We start from the raw sequence: 18,069 nt of genomic DNA, 5'->3' as shown, positions 1-18,069 counted from the left end.
ACGTTCTAGGGGAGGATCCTTCCTCATCTTTTCCAGCCTCCGGTGGCTCCAGGCATCCCTTGGATGTGGCTGCATAATTGCAACCTCTACCCCGCTGTCTTTAGATGGCCTTCTCATCTGTGTGCTTCTTTTTTTTTTTTTTTTTTTTTCCTGAGACAGAGTCTCACTATGTTACCCAGGCTGGAGTGCAGTGGCTCACAGCAACCTCCACCTCCCAGGTTCAAGCGATTCTCCTGCCTCAGCCTCCCGAGTAGCTGTGATTACAGGTGTGCATCACCATGCCTGGCTAATTTTTGTATTTTTAGTAAAGACAGGGTTTCACCATGTTGGCCAGGCTAGTCTCGAACTCCTGACCTCAGGTGATTCGCCCGCCTCAGCCTCCCAAAGTGCTGGGATTACAGGCATGAGCCAATGTGCCCAGCCTCATCCGTGTGTTTCTTAAAAGAACAGTTGTCGGCCGGGCGCGGTGGCTCACGCCTGTAATCCCAGCACTTTGGGAGGCCGAGGCGGGCGGATCACGAGGTCAGGAGATCGAGACCACGGTGAAACCCCGTCTCTACTAAAAATACAAAAAATTAGCCGGGCGCAGTGGCGGGCGCCTGTAGTCCCAGCTACTCGGGAGGCTGAGGCAGGAGAATGGCGTGAACCCGGAAGGCGGAGCTTGCAGTGAGCGGAGATCGCGCCACAGCACTCCCGCCTGGGCGACAGAACGAGACTCCGTCTCAACAAAAAAAAAAAAAAAAAAAAAAAAAAAAAAAAAAAAAAGAACAGTTGTCATTGGATTTAGGGCCTACCTGAATAATCCAGGGTGATCTTAACTTGATATTCTTAACTCAATTACATTTGCAAAGACCCTTTTTCAAATAACACCACATTCACTATTTCTAGGGATTAGGACATGGACATATCTTCTGTCATCATTCAACCCACTACAAGAAATCTAATGTCTTTAAAGTGTTGCCTTGTAAATGTATTAATGGCGGAAATCTCAACATTTTGTGTAGGGTAAAAAGTGAATCTAAATCTGAATTACTGCATGAAATGGAAACAGACCAAGAAGCAGTTTTCGGATGTGCTGAAAAATGGCAAATCTTGTGAATTAAGATAAACTTTTGAAATGCATGCCACTGGGATGCTTTTTTTTCCTTCGTAGGAATATTGGATTTGGATCTCAAAATGAAGACAAAGCTAACAATTTTAAGGCAATAAGGACTCCTTCCCCATTCAAGAAGAGCAAGGAGTGTGCAAGGAGCACCTGTGGGGGCTTTAGAAATCCTCTTCTCTTCATCCAGGGCAGCAGTACTGGTGCAGTTTACGTAGGAGGCATAAACCCAGACAGAGGAATCTCGCCCGGGTCAAGCTTGCCCTTTCCCAACTCGCAGCATGGTCTGTCTTGTAGCCTCTCTCTAGATCTTATGGTTGGAAGTGGAAATTTACTAAAGGAAGAGAAGGGAAGCTGGCCATGCATTGGTTCAAGGAGTAAAAGAAATCTCTGCACTCTTAGACTGAATCTCTGCATTTCCTAGTAGGAAACATTTCCATTGAATATAAACATATAATAGCTCTCAGTGGCAAATATTTTTGTCAAAACAATTGTAAGAGAGGATCAGATTCAAAAATATTTATAATAAGATGTTACAAGTGTTATTCTATGAAATCTCAGATTCTATGAGATTCTATGAAATCTCAGATAAAAAATAAATAATGCCTGAATTGGGCCATAAAGGGTGAGTAGACCTGTGTGCATATTACAATGGGAAAAATATATTCTGGGAAAAGGGGTCAGATTTAGGAAGGCCCTTAATATTCACATAAAGGGTTAGAATTTAAATATACATATATAATATATAAATATATATAATATAAATATATATATATTACATATATGAGAGAAGGATGGAAGATTAAAATAGAAGGTAAACAGGATTCTGTAGATGGCCTTGTATTTTTGTTTGTTTGTTTGTTTGTTTCTTTTTGAGACGGAGTCTTGCTTTGTCACTCAGGCTGAAGTGCAGTGGCAATCTCAGCTCACTGCAACCTCCACCTCCTGGGTTCAAGCAATTCTCCTGTCTCAGCCTCTTGAGTAGCTGGGATTATAGGAGCATGCCACCACGTCCGGCAAATTTTTGTATTTTTAGTAGAGACGGGGTTTCGCCATGTTGTTCAGGCTGGTCTCGAACTCCTGACCTCAGGTGATCCACCTGCCTCGGCCTCCCAAAGTGCTGGGATTACGGACATGAGCCACCACACCCAGCCGGCCTTGTAGTTTTAATACAGAGTTTCAACTTCTAGTGGTTCCTTACTACCCAAAGGGAGGCAGGAAGTGATCTTATTAGATACATTTTATAATAACTCTAGTTGCCATGTAGAAGTTAGATTCAAAGAGTTGAGAATAGAGGCAGGAAGACAATTAGGAAGCCATTGCAATCATCCAAGTGAGAGGTGCTGAATGCCTAAATTAGGAAAGCAGTAAGCAATATAGAAATAGAGAAACAGATACGAGCAGTATTTGGAAGTTCAAATTGACATGACCTTGATAATTACTGGATTATCAAGGTCATGTGTTATGCTTCATTAGCACTCTGATATCTATCTGGCATAGGAATATGTTTACTTAGTTAGCTCTTGTGGGAGTTAGTATCCAAAGATGCCCTCAAAATCGTGCTTCTGATATTCATGCCCTTGTGTATTTCCCTTCTATGTTGACTCTGGGTTGGCTCTATGACTCAATTTTAATTATATTTACAGAGGCCCCTTTTCCAAGTAATGTCACATTCATGGTTCTTATGTATGCATGAGAATGCAGTAGAAATAATATTGTGGCAGTTCTGGCCTAAACATTAAAAAGGCCTGGCACCTTCCACTTTTGTAATATTGGAAGCCCTAGAGAGATCTTGATGAGAGACCACATGCAGAGGCCATGTGTAATGAAAGCCCTGAGAATAGTTGGGATGAGAGATGAGCCCAGCCTTCCGCATTCCCACCAAGGCTCCGGGTATGGAAGTGAGCTCCAGGGGTTCTAGTCAGGCAAGCCCCCAGAGGACCCTAGCTGCAGTCAGCATCACAAGGAGCAGAAGTATCATGAGATAGTAAAATGGCACTTGCTTAAGTGAGTTGTACAACAGTTTGTTATTCAGCAAGCCACAAAAGCTCTGGAGTTCAATGAAAAATAGTCTTTTTGAGAACTTGTGAGAAATCAACAATAAAAATGTATGCTTCCTCTGGCTGATTTCTGCTAGTCTCTAATAGCTTGATCTGAAACATCTGCCTGTTTCACCAAACTTCTTTTCAAAAGCCAGCCTTGTGCTTCTGCACTGGCACAGAAGACCTGGTGGCAATGATCAGAGGTAACAAGAGCTCTGTGCAGCCACAGTACAGGAGCAGGTGGCTGATTGCTCAGGTTGGGGCCCTGCAATCAACAGAGATCTGTGTTTCTTATTTAACATTTTTATATTTCACTCACTCTTCTCTTTCCATGTGTCTAAACTAACAAAATTTACAAGAACATGCCTGTGTCTCTATAAATAATCAGAATTTGACACATTATTTTCAATTTCAGATCAGTTTTAGAATCCAAAGACACTGAAAATTTTCATCCATATTTACTTGGTTACATACAGCTTTCATAAAGATAGGGATATTTTTGTAAGGACCATGCACCACAGATTTACATTTTTCTTGATCGTGTGTGTGGGAAGATCTCTATCTCATCGTGGCTTAAGGCAGGCAGAGTTCTCAAGGAAGTTGGAGTCATGGGCTGGTTTCAAGCAGCGTCATTCCACACTGAAGTGTTGTATGAATGTAATTAATTTCTATGTGTGCCTTGACATGCGGGAGACTGTGAGGCATTGTGTTGCAGCCACACACAAATGAGTCAGATGTTCATCTTTTATTTTACTCATGCCTTTTGATTCTACCAATTCAGAGTTAGTTCAAGCCTCAAGATCATTGCTGGAAATATTAGAAATTCTTCCATTGATCTTTATGCCAATAATGGAGAGCTGGTTTGGGAATTTGACTAGCAGCTGGAACAGTGATCAGTCTTCTTTTGTGTAGTTCTTCTCCACCGACACTAGGGTACAATGAACCATAGCTTCTCCGCACTCAGTCCTGTGCTATACCCTTCTGATTCCATATATGTTCAAATAATATTACAAATTTAGCCGCTTCTGATCTGATAGTCAAATAGATTCATTACTACCTTGTGAATAAATTTTGAAAAAAGTAATTCTCTCTCTATATATATATATCTCTAAATGGGTCCAGTCAGAGATTTGTATACACTCCATTATTATTTTTAAAATGTACCAGCTTTTTTTCCTAAATATGTGATAATAACAATAATATTTTTAAAAACATAAATCCACAAAAGAGAGAGAAAATGCAATAGCAGCATAATTTAGGAAACTGGACAGGAGCTGGATAAATAATTATTAATGTAGATGTTTAGAGAAAGTTGAAATTCTAGCTTTTAGATGAGGAGGCCCAGAAGCAACTTACTTCATCTTAACAGCCCCCAAGAACGCTTAGAATTAGATGCCTCTAGAGTACAAGTGGGACCTTAAACTGGTGGGTTGTTTGGAAATCTGCAAAAGGAGGAGAGCACCAAACACTCAGCCTACTTAATATACCTGGAAATTACAAATGAAGAGACTTTGATAATAGAGTTCAGTTAGTCATCCAATATCACAATCACAGTACAAGCTGGGGTATAGACCACGTAAAATAGTGAAGGTCCTTCATCAGTGCTCCTTTATGATATTATCAGTGATATTTAAAAATGAAAATAGCCACATGTGAGAAGAAATAAAAATACAAATGTTCATGTGGGGGAAAAGTTGAACTAAAGCAAAACCAAAATCCCCAATGGATTAAAGGAGGCAGCATCACCTGTTCTGGTATTAAACATGCATATTTCCAGGCCAGGTGTGTGAGGGAGGGGCATGCCGACATGCTCCTTTTGTGCTGTGATAAAGTATAATAGAAGAATTCGTTTTCAGGACATAGCAACAATGAGGGGGTAAATATCGCCTTTGTTTACCCAGATTGTTTTAGATAGATTTGAGTAACTATTGGGTTCTTTCAGAATCATGCCAAAAGAGCAGGCAATGGGTCTGACTCCATGATGTGGTTAATGAGCTGTTGGGAGCTGGGGTTAGTATTGTTTAGTAACGGCCCAGTTACCAGGTCATGTGTTATGCTTCATTAGCACTCTGACATCTATCTGTCATAAGGAATATGTTTACTTAATTTGCTCTTGTGGTAGTTAGTTATGATCACTAGCATGCTTATTTTTCTATGTTTGCACAATCCTCTTGAAAAAAAACTGTAATTCAACGAACTTGTCTTTTCCATCCTACTCATGGTTCTTTGTCAATGCTGGTAACAGTGCAACACCAGACACAGGTTTGCGTATGGGCTGCAGGTGCCTGAACAGCACTGTGTAAAGGCACAGAGGTATGTGGCTGAGTCTTCAGGCTGGGATCCTTTGATGTACAAATAGCTGTAACCCTCCTTGGTATTAAGAGTGGCACTTATTCGTCCTTTCTTCTTTTCATCCCCATTTAAAGTCATTACAAACAAGGCCTCGGGGCTTTTTGCAGTTTCCCATCTGTACCAGTGTAAGGCATAAAAATTGCTGGAAGGGAAGCTGCAGGTGAAATTGGTGCTGTCTCCCTCCTGAACATGCAGTGACTGAGGACTTTGTTCCACGTTCAGTATGCTGCTCACGCCTGTTTTTTTAAAAAAGAGTCAGACATAGAAATTGGTCTCTCTACAGAGTTGGCATTTTCTTCACACATCCCCAAATAAAACCTAGAGTGTCTGACTGCATCCTCCTCCTTCCTCATCATCACCCCAGACTAAGAATGTCTCCTGTAACCCCTGGACTTACAGTCAAGATGAAACCAGAGGATTAGTAATGGGGCTGCCAAAGGATTCTTCTCCATGTTTCCTGCTCACGTACCCACAGCAGAAAAACGTTTTGCAGCCAAAATCTGTGGAAATATTCTGCTTCAGAAAACAGGATTCTGCATCTGGTTGCCTAGCCAATCAGAGACCAGCTCCCATAAATGTCCTAGAAACGCTCTGCCCTATGTTCAGTTTCCTGTGGTTCACAAAGAGGAGTCGAAGTAACTGCTTTCTTCAGGCCAACTTCATAAACTTTGAGGAAATCCCCCATGAGTGTGGAACACAACGAGAATTGACACCCTTTCAGAAGTGCGCTGCCTAACTGTGGACTGCTATTATTCAAATTTAGAGGGAGTTACAGGTGGGATGGCATTTGTGGCAGGAAAAGCATTTTTCTTTGAATCTTCAAACATTAAAAAACAACTTTTGAATCCCCCTCAAATTATAAATGTGCACACATCTAAATTACCTTTTTCTTTATGTACATCTATCTAATAAGAAAGTCATGCAATAGAGACATTACTGTTTCTAATTTACAAACAAAAAATAACCCAAAGCTCAAGGAGATTAAATAATTCACTCAAGGTCAATTACCTAAGTGGCATATTAAGAATTAGAACATATATCTGTCTAGCTCTAGACTTTATAATTGGAATCTGATATGCCACCTACATTTGTGATGCACCATGAATGTTTTACATGTTAGATATGTTCTAAAAATAATGGAAGTCTAATTTGTGGATATTCTTTATTAAGGCTAAAAAAATGAGAACAACCCAAATGTCCATCAGCTGGTGAATGAATAAACAAAATGCAGTATGTTCATACAAGATGTGAATGATATTCGGCAACAAAAATAAATAAATAATAAATAAAATAAAATAAATAAGCAAAAATGAAATAAATAAAATAAAACATAATATATGCTACAACACAGATGAGCCTCAAAAATACTATTTTAAGAAAAAGAATCCAGCCACAAAAGATTACATATTGAGTGATTCCATTTATATGAAATGTTCAGAAAAGGAAGATCTATAAAGATGTAAGCCGGTTGCCTGGGGCCAGGGTTGGGTTAGAGATTAACTATAAGTTTGGCATGAAGGATCTTTCTAGAGTGTTGAAAAGGATTTACAAATAGATTATGGTAATAGTTTCATAAATCAGTTATTAATTAAAAATCACTGAACCATACATTTAAAATGGATGAATTTATGGAACGTAAACATACTCCAATAAAGTTGTTTAAAAGTAAATAAGAATTATGCTGTCTTGCTTCTGTCACAGTCCAGATATAACGTTAGTTTGATTCAATATGCATGTATTTTTTAAACAGTAATTTTTGTGCTTTGAATTTCCCTAGGAGCTCTGAGGAATTAAAAATTACAAAGCTACAGCCTCATCTAGGGGAGAGGAAAAGAAAGAAAAAAAGATTACAAAGCAACATTCCCTATTCCCTGTGAGCCCAAAATATAATTGGAGAAATAAGATATATCCAAGGGAAATTTAATAATATAAGATAGCATTAATTTTTTTCAGAATATAAATTTAACCTCTAGGTATTTAGTGTATGAAGTGCCTTTAAAACCTTTCCAGTGAACAACTGAAGTAAGCAAAGGAAACAGCATGGGGTATGTACTAAAATCAGGGGACAGCACTTTCCACATACATTTAAATCACGTTCTAAAAAATTAGAACAGGATTAGAAAGTATCTCAATGGTTAACTTCTAGCTTTCCTTCCCAGAAAAGGAGATAAATGTATGGGTAGTAAAGGAAATCCTGGAAGCCTCAATAATGACTCCTAGTTCAGAAGCATGAGGACTAGGGTTAGGGATGGCTGCTAGACAAACAAGCCATTCTTTTTTTTAAATCATACTTTAAGTCCTGGGGTACATGTTCAGAACGTGCAGCTTTGTTACATAGGTATACACATGCCCTGGTGGTTTGCTGCACCCATCGACCTGTCACCTACGTTAGGTATTTCTGCTAATGTTATACCTCCCCTAGTCCCCCATCCCCTGACAGACCCTGGTGTGCGATATTCCCCTCCCTGTGTCCATGTGTTCTCATTGTTCAACTCCCACTTATGAGTGAGAACATGCAGTATTTGGTTTTCTGGTCTTGTGATAGCTTGCTGAGAATGATGGTTTCCAGCTTCATTCATGTCCCTGCCAAGGACATAAACTCATCCTGCTTATGATTGCATAGTATTCCATGGTGTATATGTGCCACATTTTCTTAATCCAGTCTATCACTGATGGGCATTTGGCTTGGTTCCAAGTCTTTGCTGTAGTAGTTTCTTTTCTGTAGTTTCTTCTCCAGATGCATGGAGAAGATCATAGCATTCAGGTAACTTTATCATAGGAGAGTGAAGTCATGGCCACAATCACTCAGAAAGCCTACATGCTGTGGAGCTCATTTCTGGTGAGAACACCGATCCACTGATAAATTCACCCACATGTTGAAGGAGCAGTGTCCAGATCAAGAAGATATACCTCTAACAGCAGGGAGAATTCCTCTATCTATAATAGTAGGACAGAATCCTGCAAGGTATAGCCACACATTTGACCTGAAGTAAAGGCCAAGCCTGTTGGCAACTAAATACAGCCTTACGAGATTCTCTTTCTGGAAGAGTGCATGATCCTAGTTTCCTTCCTCCCCACTTTGGCCACAGGACAACTCAACTAGTAATATCAATCTTTATCATTCTTAACAGCCTAATATATCAGGGAGGATTCTAAATGTACCCACCCTGATAGTGAAGGGAAACAAGGTCAATTTGCTTTCTCTGTTTTGAGCAAACAGTGGGCCTGTATATCAACTCTTATGCAAGGAGTGTGTGTGTGTGTGTGTGTGTGTGTGTATGTGTGCACACAGAATTTTTTAAAACATAAAAATATATACATATACATGAGTCCTCTGAAAAACTTTTGCAACATAAAAGATAAGATGCATGCACTACAGAGAAAAATGCCTCAGAATTTTTTCTACCTCATATCCACAGTGAGTAAAGTGAGGGATTTATAGATAAAATTTTTAGTAAGATTATTTATTAATTCCCCCAAAGTGCAAAAATAAACCAATGTAGATAAACCAAAGCTAGTATTCAACTATTTAGCCTTTACATATTTAAATATTACGTTAAGAAACTTACAGGATATAAATCTTGACAATTCTGGATAAATAACACAAAGATTAATCCAGCTTAAACTGTTATATTAATATTTGAATTGCAAGGACTCTGGACATAATTTTACCTTTTGTGCATTCATTCAACAAACATGTATTGTTTGTGTCTCCTGTGTGCTAGGCATTGTTCCAGGCATGGAGAACATGGTGGTGAAGAGATAGAAAAGGGACTAGAGTGCAATGAGAAGAAGTTAAATAAATGAGTTTTTACAAAATAAGATAATTCTATACGGTGATAAGCTCTATAAAGACAATATAGCACTGTAATGAGATAGAGAGTTATTCTTGGGGTGAGAAAAGGTATCTGCTCTACATAAGGCATGGAGGGAAGGCTCAACTCTGACACTTTGTGATGCTAGGCAAGACATTTAATCTCTCTCATATTCAATTTCCTTTTCTGTAAGTAACCAGTAGCTTTTTGTTGGTACTGGGCTAAGCATTGGCATTTGTCATTTTGTTTATTTCTCAAAATAACCCTTTGTAGTAAGTACTATCAATATCCACATTGTAGGGATAAGGAGACTGAAGCATAAAAGTTATTAAGTAATTTGCTCAAGATAATTCAACCAATGAGTGGTAGGTCCAGAAATGCAATCCAAGCCTATATAATGGTTATGCCATTACATTATAAGTAATGGAAAAAGCAGAAATTACTTTTACACCAACCGAATAAATCATCTAATACAATAACTTCTGTATCTTAGGCACTCAACCAGATGCATTCAATATAGAAAATATTGGGGGGTTGGGAGACTGTATCTGAAATTGCAGTGCAGTCTATCCACAAGATAAAATTCAGTATTTTTCCGAGGGGCATTTTGCAATTTGCATAGCATATTTTATGTACTATAATACATATCCATGTTCTATCATGTTTCTTACTGTTAGTGGGAAATCAGTGGCGTTATGATGCTATATTGGGAGGTTGGGCAGCATATGATAACATGGAGAGAGTATGCTGCACTGTGTTCCCTACAATGGCTTATTTCTCTCCATCATTGACTCTTGTTCTCACTTCTTAGGATATTTCTATACTACAGTAAGGGACAGAGCAGTAGATGAACTCTCACTTAATAGAGAAAAACTTCCCACCTTGTGCAATAATGCCAACCTTTGTTTCCAAGGTATTCTATTAGCTTAAACCATCCCATATATTATATTTGCCATTTTGAAATCAATCAACCTCACATATTAAGGGAAAAATATTTTAAAAATGAAATTTAAAAAAGTCCCAGCCAGCGCCTCTGCCCGGCCGCCCCGTCTAGGAAGTGAGTGCCTCTGCCCGGCCGCCCCGTCTGGGAGGTGTACCCAACAGCTCCGAAGAGACAGCGACCATCGAGAACGGGCAGTGATGACGATGGCGGTTTTGTAGAAAAGAAAAGGGGGAAATGTGGGGAAAAGAAAGAGAGAACAGATTGTTACTGTGTCTGTGTAGAAAGAAGTAGACATAGGAGACTCCATTTTGTTCTGTACTAAGAAAAATTCTTCTGCCTTGGAATAAATAAATAAATAAATAAATACATAAATACATAAATAACTTGTGAGGTCTGGATCCAGGCAATGGAGACAAGACACAGTAGCAGGGACAAGCTGCGTAAGGGATAAAAATTGCTTCCTTCAAAGAAAAAAAAAAGTCTCAGCCAGTCCTGCTGAATCCTGTCTCACATGATTACTACCATGGGAAGGTTACTGACTGGTTCAGAAATGCTAGCTCCTATTGCAACCAGGCTTCATCACAGCTTAGCCCGTGAACACTGGAGGGCAGCAGGGAAGCCAGCGTAAACCTCACCAAATAGTTCAGCGGGACACCAGGTGGCAGTGCTTCAGAACTTGGTGCTTTAGTTCTCAACACGTGGAATACGCTAGAGCCTGATTCTCAAAGAAGGAATATACAATAGAAAGATTTCGATAAAGGCTTCACAAAGTGGTGACTTTTGCGTAAAGACGTAGAGGAGTTCAGAGCTACACCATGAGGTTTTGTGGGGGTATAGCATTGCAGGCAGAGTGGGCAAAGGCCTTGATATGGAAGCCCGCTTGGAGTGTTTAAGGAATAGTATCTCATCTTTCCCTCTAGCCTCTTGTGCTTCATAGCACACTACTGTAGAAGAGACTCACTGATACATTCAGCACTCTTAAATACTTAGTCGGTGATTTCCTCCATCTGTTGATCCTGAGGCAATTTGTGCCTAGGTTTGTCATCTTGTCATCCTCACTGAGAAAGCCAATGCTGCTGCTTTGTGGCTATTTGCTTCTCCATAGTCCAAACTTTGATTTTTTAGGAGCCCTCTAAGATGTTACACCCTGGCTGACTTTAGTTAGAGATGCTTTTCAAAGTTAGGGAAAGCTGTGTCTCATTTCCCAAATATAAAAAATTGGAAGACTAAAACCTATCTCGTAGGGTGTATGATGCTTAAATTAGGTAATGAATTTGAAATGTATAAATAGTGCCTGACATATAGTATGGCCAATGAATACCAACTTTCTTTTTTCCTAGTAAAACCTGCTTTCCTTCAGTGTTCCGGTCTTTAGCCTGTTACTGCTTTTTCTTCTTCCACTGAACATGGTTCAATGATGGACATGTTAAAAGAAAAACTTTAGACGAATTAAATTTTACAGAGTTTAATTAAGCAAAGAACGATTAGAGATTCAGGCAGCCCCCCACCAGACCAGAACAGGTTCAGAGAGACTCTGTCACTGCCACATGGTCAAAGAATATTTATGGACAGAGAAAGTAAAGTGACTTATAGAAAAAGGAAGTAAGGTACAGAAACAGATGGATTGGTTAAAGCTTGGCATTTGCCTTATTTGAACATGTTTGAACAGTTGGCCACCTATGGCCGAAACTTAGGGATTGGTAGAGAGCAGACTGTAGCCTGTTTATGCATCCTGTTAGGTTACAGGGCCCTATGTATGGAGAAACCTTTGCCCTGAGTTTTAAATAAATAAGGAGGCAGCTTTAGGCTAAACTTAATTTAACAGAAGTTTCTAGAAAACCTACTTGGCCATCCCTTCCCCTGGAAGTAGTCACTATTTTTCATTATCCTCTTGTGGTCATTTCCTCCTGGCTACATTAATACAACTGGGGTGCTGAAAGGGCACAGGGGGATCACTCAATGGGGTTTCATTTTCATTTTCCTAATGAGTAATTATATTAAGTGCTTTTTGTGTATGCTTATTACTATTAGATATCATATTTCTGAAGTGTCTCTTCAAGTTTTGGCCATTTGTATTGTTTTCTCATTGCTTGTTGACTTGTACAAGTTTTTTATATATTCTGCATTTGAATCTTTTTCAGAAATACACCAATGCAAATATAATTTCCCAATCTGTGCACTGACTTTCCACCTTTTTAACAATGATTTTTGACAAAGGGTTTAAAATTAGACTTTCATGTTCATAGGAAGCTAGCTAGAGAGTTTTTTTGTTTGTTTGTTTGTTTGTTTGTTTTGTAAGTACTCTAAAAATACTTTTTCCTCTTTGGCTTCTGTTGATTTTGATGAGAATTCAGCAATCATTCTTAAAGACATGATATATCATGATATATCATGATATATCAACTTTCTCTGGCTGCTGGCAAGTTTTGCTTTGTTTTAGTCCACTTAGACATTCTGAATATGGACTTTCCTTCCACATCTGCAGTGCTTCTGGCAAAACCACAGTGGTGGGCTTAGAGAATTCCTTACTCAACTTTATGGCATTCTGTATAACATTGCTCCTGACCAAGGAGCTTGTTTTATAGAAAGTCAAGTGTACCAGTGAGTTGAGGTGCTTGCTGAAAACAGATTATGAAATGGGTAATGGAAGAGGTAGTTATAGAAACCAGCTACAATCATGTGACCATTTGTGGAAAAAAAGACTATACTGTTATAAACATTTCTTTTTCATTGTGATATGAAAATATTAAAATACATGTCAACCATTTTTTACTCTCCTCCCATTTGCCTATACATAATAGTGAAAGATATGTTAATAAGTTACTCTTATAGCTTGTTATATCTCAGAAGCTAAACTACAGGATATCAATGGGAGAGTGTGACTCAGCTAGAAGAGGAAAGAACATCACCCAAAGATGAATAAATACTTTGTATTCTCTTTAGGGGAGAGGGTTAGGGTATGTGTGGTTGAATGAAGAACAGTGGCATCATATTGGCAGGAAGTATGCTTTTTAAAATTGCCTTTATTTGAAAGCTAAGTGCTATTAAAAGAGGTGCATATGGATGTCAAGTTTACAAGGTGGGGGTATTGTGGTAACTTTGTACTGTCTCGTCGTAACTACCTGGAAATATATTTCTAAGAAAATCCTTCCCTATATTGTTCTCGATTAAGTTGAAAAAAATTGTGTAAGGCAGGTGCCAGGCTCCAGGCACTGTGGCAACTCACATATGTTGCTCTGATCTGCTAACTCATCTTATTGTTGATTCACAACTCCCCCACTCCCCCCAGATCTCCTCTTTCAGCTTCTCTTTTTCTTGGGCCAAGTACCCAGGGAGCATGATAGCAAATAACACCATTTCTTCTGAAGGTCACCAACACTATGAGATTGAAGGAGGTAAGAGACAGACAAGTTTTAGTTTGTCCTCGTGGGTTCCACCTGTCACCATGGGTTCCAAAATGTCTTTACAAATCACAGCTTTTGCATGCTCTTGTCCATGTTCAACTCTCCTTCCCAAATGTGAGTCTAGCTGACCTAGAGTAAATTCAGCAAACAGCTTTGCATAGGAGTAAGAGCAGATTATGGCATCGTATCACAGAAATCTGGCATGCTTATCACGACTTTATTTTACACATGAAAAACATGCCCAGCCACAGAATTTAACAAGTGAGACTGAATAGTTTGGATTAATGGGATAGAAATGTGGTATCAGGAGAATTCTAGGACACATGATCTAAGAAGTACTATTCTACTTGTGAAGCCAATAGGACTGAATGTCCTGATCCTCTTCAGCCTAGTACATAAAACTCAGTGTCAGATTTTGAAAAGATTACATTTTATTCCTGTTACAATTTCATAAAAACATAAACAACTAAGTAACTTCCGAGAGCCACCCGTTCCAGCAATTGCATGAGGTCTAATCCTTATAATTAATCTTATTCTACATCTTTCACGATGGTTCTGCTTCCCTGATTGTATCCTAACTGACATAAAGCTTAAGAGGAAAGGGCTAAGGAAATGATTTTTATGGTGATTCAAGATAACTAGACCCAGATTTCTGCTGTGAGCATCGTTAAGTGAGACTGCCACTTTAAGTTATTATGTGGAAGTCTTTCCAACTTTAGACAACTTTACACATTTTCTGTATGATCTATTTTAAGTAAAAATTGAAGTATTAGAAGAAAGTTGCTCTGAACACCTGTTTCCAAGTGAGATAGAAGGAGGTTTTACTTGGAATTAAATCATCTGATCCAGACCACAGATTAAATCCACAGACCACAGTCACTACCCTCTCTTGCCTGAGATCTGCAGGTGTGCATTTCAGATTGGCTCCTGTAGCAAAGGATGGGGAGTAGAGGGGTTCTCTTATTGAGCCCTAGGGTTTTTGTTTTGCTTTTACTATCACTTCAAACACTGTGAGTTCCCCAAGAGCACAAAAGTACTTTGCTGAATCTTCTAGCTGTAAGGCTGAAATGGTTAAGGCGACGGATTTCGCTGCTTTCTTGAAGTTGACAGAATAGCGACCACTTTTTGCATTCTGTTCATCAGAACCCTGGCGAATAAGGAAAATCATCTCTTTGCTGGGAAGTTGCTTGTACCAAAAAATATAATATGACCACCAACTTGTTTCATACAGGCAGTTCAGGGTGACTGCTTTCCTCACTGGCATGGATACTGATGACTGGGCTTGAGTAACCTTCTGGGCCACACTTGATCCTGTGGGAAAAATCAGAAAACAGAGCTGATCCTTTGATATAGTGAATAAAATATCGTAAGAGCTAGACTAATTTAGGACCCAGAGACAAACCAAACTAAAATCATAATATGCTCGCTTTTTTACAATTTCTCCTTTCCTCCTCAAGTCCATGAGAAATACCATATGCCTGTTTGGAATCCTTCCATCCTTAACATTTTTACTCACACTTGGAACCATCCATACCAGAGTAGCTGAAGGCCACAAATACACACAGCAGGCTGGAGAACAGCATGTGGCATGTAGCTCTTTGCACAAATGTGAGTTGTGCTGCCTGAAGCTCAAAGTTCAGTGCCTACCAGGGCCCTGCGGTGTGTATATGTAGTTCCTGGGTTCTGATGCTATCTCCCCAAACAGGAAATTGAGTCTCATGTTCATAGACTACATGGCTATGCACAGATGAGGAAAAATGTCTGGCTCACCCCTGAATCTTTACTTTGTCTAGTTGTCTTTCCCTAGTCATTAGGATAGACAGAACCTAGAAAAGGGATATAAGAAAAGCAATTTGTATTGAGGGGAACTGCAGTTGAACCAGTTGACATACATTGATATTATTCATTTAGCATATATTTACTTTTTGCCATCAGAAACTAATTAAATTTAAAAGAAAAATACTCAGATATTTGACTTTCTCTGTGAAAGGCAGTCCTATTCTAAACAATTACTGCATCTCTTTCTTCCTCCTTACTGAGGTCTAGGGCCCTAGTTAAGTTCTATAATAAGTAAAGCTACTTCAAAATCAAATGATAAAAATCAGTCCTTCTCGACTTTCAGAAGCTGCTCAGTTTTTTATCTCTTTATGAAATTATAACAGCAATAAAATGTAATCATTTCAAAATCTGACACTAAGTTTTATTTACTAGACTGAGGAGGATCAGTATATTCAGTCCTGTTGCCTTCACAAGTAGAATTATACTTCTTAGATCATGTGTCCTAGAATTGTCCTGATATCACATTTTCTATCCCATTGATCCAAAGTATTCAGTCTCACTTGTTACATTCTGTGGCTGGGCATTTTTAAAATTTTTAATGATAAGCATAAGACATTGTTTGTCATGATAAGCATACAAGATCTCTCTGTGATGCAAATGATACAATGCTATAATATACTCCCACAGAACGTGTTATCTGAAGGTTGCAAGAACTTTGTGCATGTCAATACCACAGAAGTTGGTGGCTGAATTTTTTGTATGCTGTTACGTGATTGTATGGAATTTAGATGTTAATCTTCCATGTGATTTCATTGTCTTTTTTAAAAATTTAAATAGAAAAATTTTTATTTTAGAGTTGGGGGTCTCTCTTTGTCACCCAGACTGAAGTGCAGTGGCACAATCAGAACTCACTGCAGCCTGGAACTCCTAGGCTCAAGTAATTTTGTCACCGCAGCCTCCCAAATGGCTAGGACTCCAGTTGCGAGCTACCAGGCCTGGCTAAATTTTTATTTTACTTTGTAGAGATGGAGTCTCTCTACGTTGCCCAGACTGGTCTCAAACTCCTGGCCTCAAGTGACCTTATCTTGGCTTCCCAAAGTGCTGGGATTATATGTGTGAACCCAGCCTCTAGTTTCACTAACTTAATGGACGAATTAATATAAAGGGACCAAGAGATAGCTAAGAAAGAAAGTGCAGACAAGGTCTCTAAAACATTTCCAGTTCTTTTATAAAGGTCAAAATAGCATATCACTGAGTGGTGCAGGGAATAGTTTCTCATTGTTTGAGACATCTACTCCTTAGTCCCGTTTCACCTCTGAGTGCTGAGAGGTATCCATGCTCTGGTTTGCAATTATTTGTACCTAAGTAGATGGAGACCATGAATACTCACAGTAGACTGGGAAGCAGTATGATGGCAGGATTTCCTTCCTGTTGAAATAGCCCTGCTCTGTACCCTGACAGTACAGGTGCAGGGTCCCTCAGTTCTGTATGGAAGCTGCCTCTGAAATGTGGTTTCTGGGTGGGTCAAGTGTGAATGTGCTATGATAATCCCTAGGCTGGGAAATTGGTTCTATCCTAAACATCGTTTTGCCCTTTCTTATAATTTAATTAACAAATGACAAAGGATTATATCTGGTAAAGGACATGCATGAAACAATATTGAAGGAATTCTTAAAAGGAGATTAGTCATTTAAAATTTCCAAGTTTAGGAAATTGATCTGTGATAAATCTGAGGGGCTTATCTGAAACCAATTTATTATGAATCATGGCTTTGATTACAAATATACATTCATGTTTTGATTGTTCACTTGCTACCAACCTGAGTCAAAGGTGAAGCTGCTCACCAATCCTTGGCTTTGACACAGGAGACAAACCAGAAGTCATCACCTCCCGTCCTTCCTACTTACCCATCAAACCAAGGGAATTGGAACTTCACAATGGCAAAGCAACAGCTCAGACAAATGAGATTAAAAAAAAAAGACTCCCAGGTTCTGTATTTTCTCCAGTTGTGTGTTCTACTGTCAATAGTAACGGCAAAGGCCTATTATTTCTACTATAACTCTATGCTTAATTTTATTTGAAGTTCTAGGATGGGAGAATCCATGGGCCCTCTGAATTCAAATCTTTAGCTATGCTGTTGCCATGAGTGCATGTGTACTGTTTGGTGCAATTCTATAATTTTTAATAATTATCAGGAAGACAAGGCTTCTCACAAAATGCTGCTTTATCAGTAAAAATATTCAAAACTATTAATAGTATAAATGTCCAAAATAAAAATATTTCCCTCTTTGGACATTGAAAGAATGAAGATTCTTTTCCACTTTATGCTGAAACTTCATCTGATAGAGCAGTTTATGTCAAAGCACCAAATTCCAAAAGCTGTATTTTTGTTGGACTGCCCCATAAAGAAATCCAAATGGGAATAGTTGAGTGATTCTGTGGCAAACTGTCCTCAGACTCTTCCTGGTTCTTTGTAGAAATCCCCAAACTCACATCTGTATGAAGCCACAGAATCACTGTTGAGACTCCCAGCTCTTCCCATTTCTTCCTCTCTCTCATATACTTGACAACAGCCCTCTTCTCATGCTGACCACGAATTCATCCTAGGCACTGTATTCTACTTTATTCTTGA

At 39.0% G+C, this 18,069-nt stretch overlaps 2 gene segments (V, D, J or C) and 1 further gene, besides 10 other annotated features; all 3 read right to left on the bottom strand.

Moving 5' to 3' along the window:
* Window positions 1–18,069, bottom strand: part of TRA (T cell receptor alpha locus) — a 930,229-nt gene that overhangs the window by 440,842 nt on the left and 471,318 nt on the right.
* Window positions 5,406–5,414: a recombination feature (nonamer).
* Window positions 5,415–5,437: a recombination feature (spacer).
* TRAV24 (T cell receptor alpha variable 24) lies at window positions 5,445–5,948 on the bottom strand. The segment is given in 2 exon segments: window positions 5,445–5,732; window positions 5,894–5,948. Coding segments are annotated over 2 exon segments (343 nt in total), but the record flags the coding sequence as incomplete, so codon positions are not given.
* Window positions 5,722–5,732: a sequence feature (TRAV24 leader sequence).
* Window positions 5,894–5,948: a sequence feature (TRAV24 leader sequence).
* Window positions 10,705–10,999: an enhancer, noted in NCBI's record as "tiled region #3554; HepG2 Activating DNase matched - State 12:CtcfO". NCBI's record gives its function as "activates a minimal TATA promoter and a strong SV40 promoter by Sharpr-MPRA in HepG2 cells {active_cell/tissue: HepG2}" and the evidence as "EXISTENCE:reporter gene assay evidence [ECO:0000049][PMID:27701403]".
* Window positions 10,705–10,999: a silencer, noted in NCBI's record as "tiled region #3554; K562 Repressive non-DNase unmatched - State 12:CtcfO". NCBI's record gives its function as "represses a minimal TATA promoter and a strong SV40 promoter by Sharpr-MPRA in K562 cells {active_cell/tissue: K562}" and the evidence as "EXISTENCE:reporter gene assay evidence [ECO:0000049][PMID:27701403]".
* Window positions 14,633–14,641: a recombination feature (nonamer).
* Window positions 14,642–14,664: a recombination feature (spacer).
* TRDV1 (T cell receptor delta variable 1) lies at window positions 14,672–15,241 on the bottom strand. The segment is given in 2 exon segments: window positions 14,672–14,969; window positions 15,193–15,241. Coding segments are annotated over 2 exon segments (347 nt in total), but the record flags the coding sequence as incomplete, so codon positions are not given.
* Window positions 14,959–14,969: a sequence feature (TRDV1 leader sequence).
* Window positions 15,193–15,241: a sequence feature (TRDV1 leader sequence).

The sequence above is a fragment of the Homo sapiens genome, chromosome 14 (assembly GCF_000001405.40).
Source record: "Homo sapiens chromosome 14, GRCh38.p14 Primary Assembly".
Taxonomy (NCBI): Eukaryota; Metazoa; Chordata; class Mammalia; order Primates; family Hominidae; genus Homo; species Homo sapiens.
This window is presented reverse-complemented; position numbering and strand designations above follow the sequence as displayed.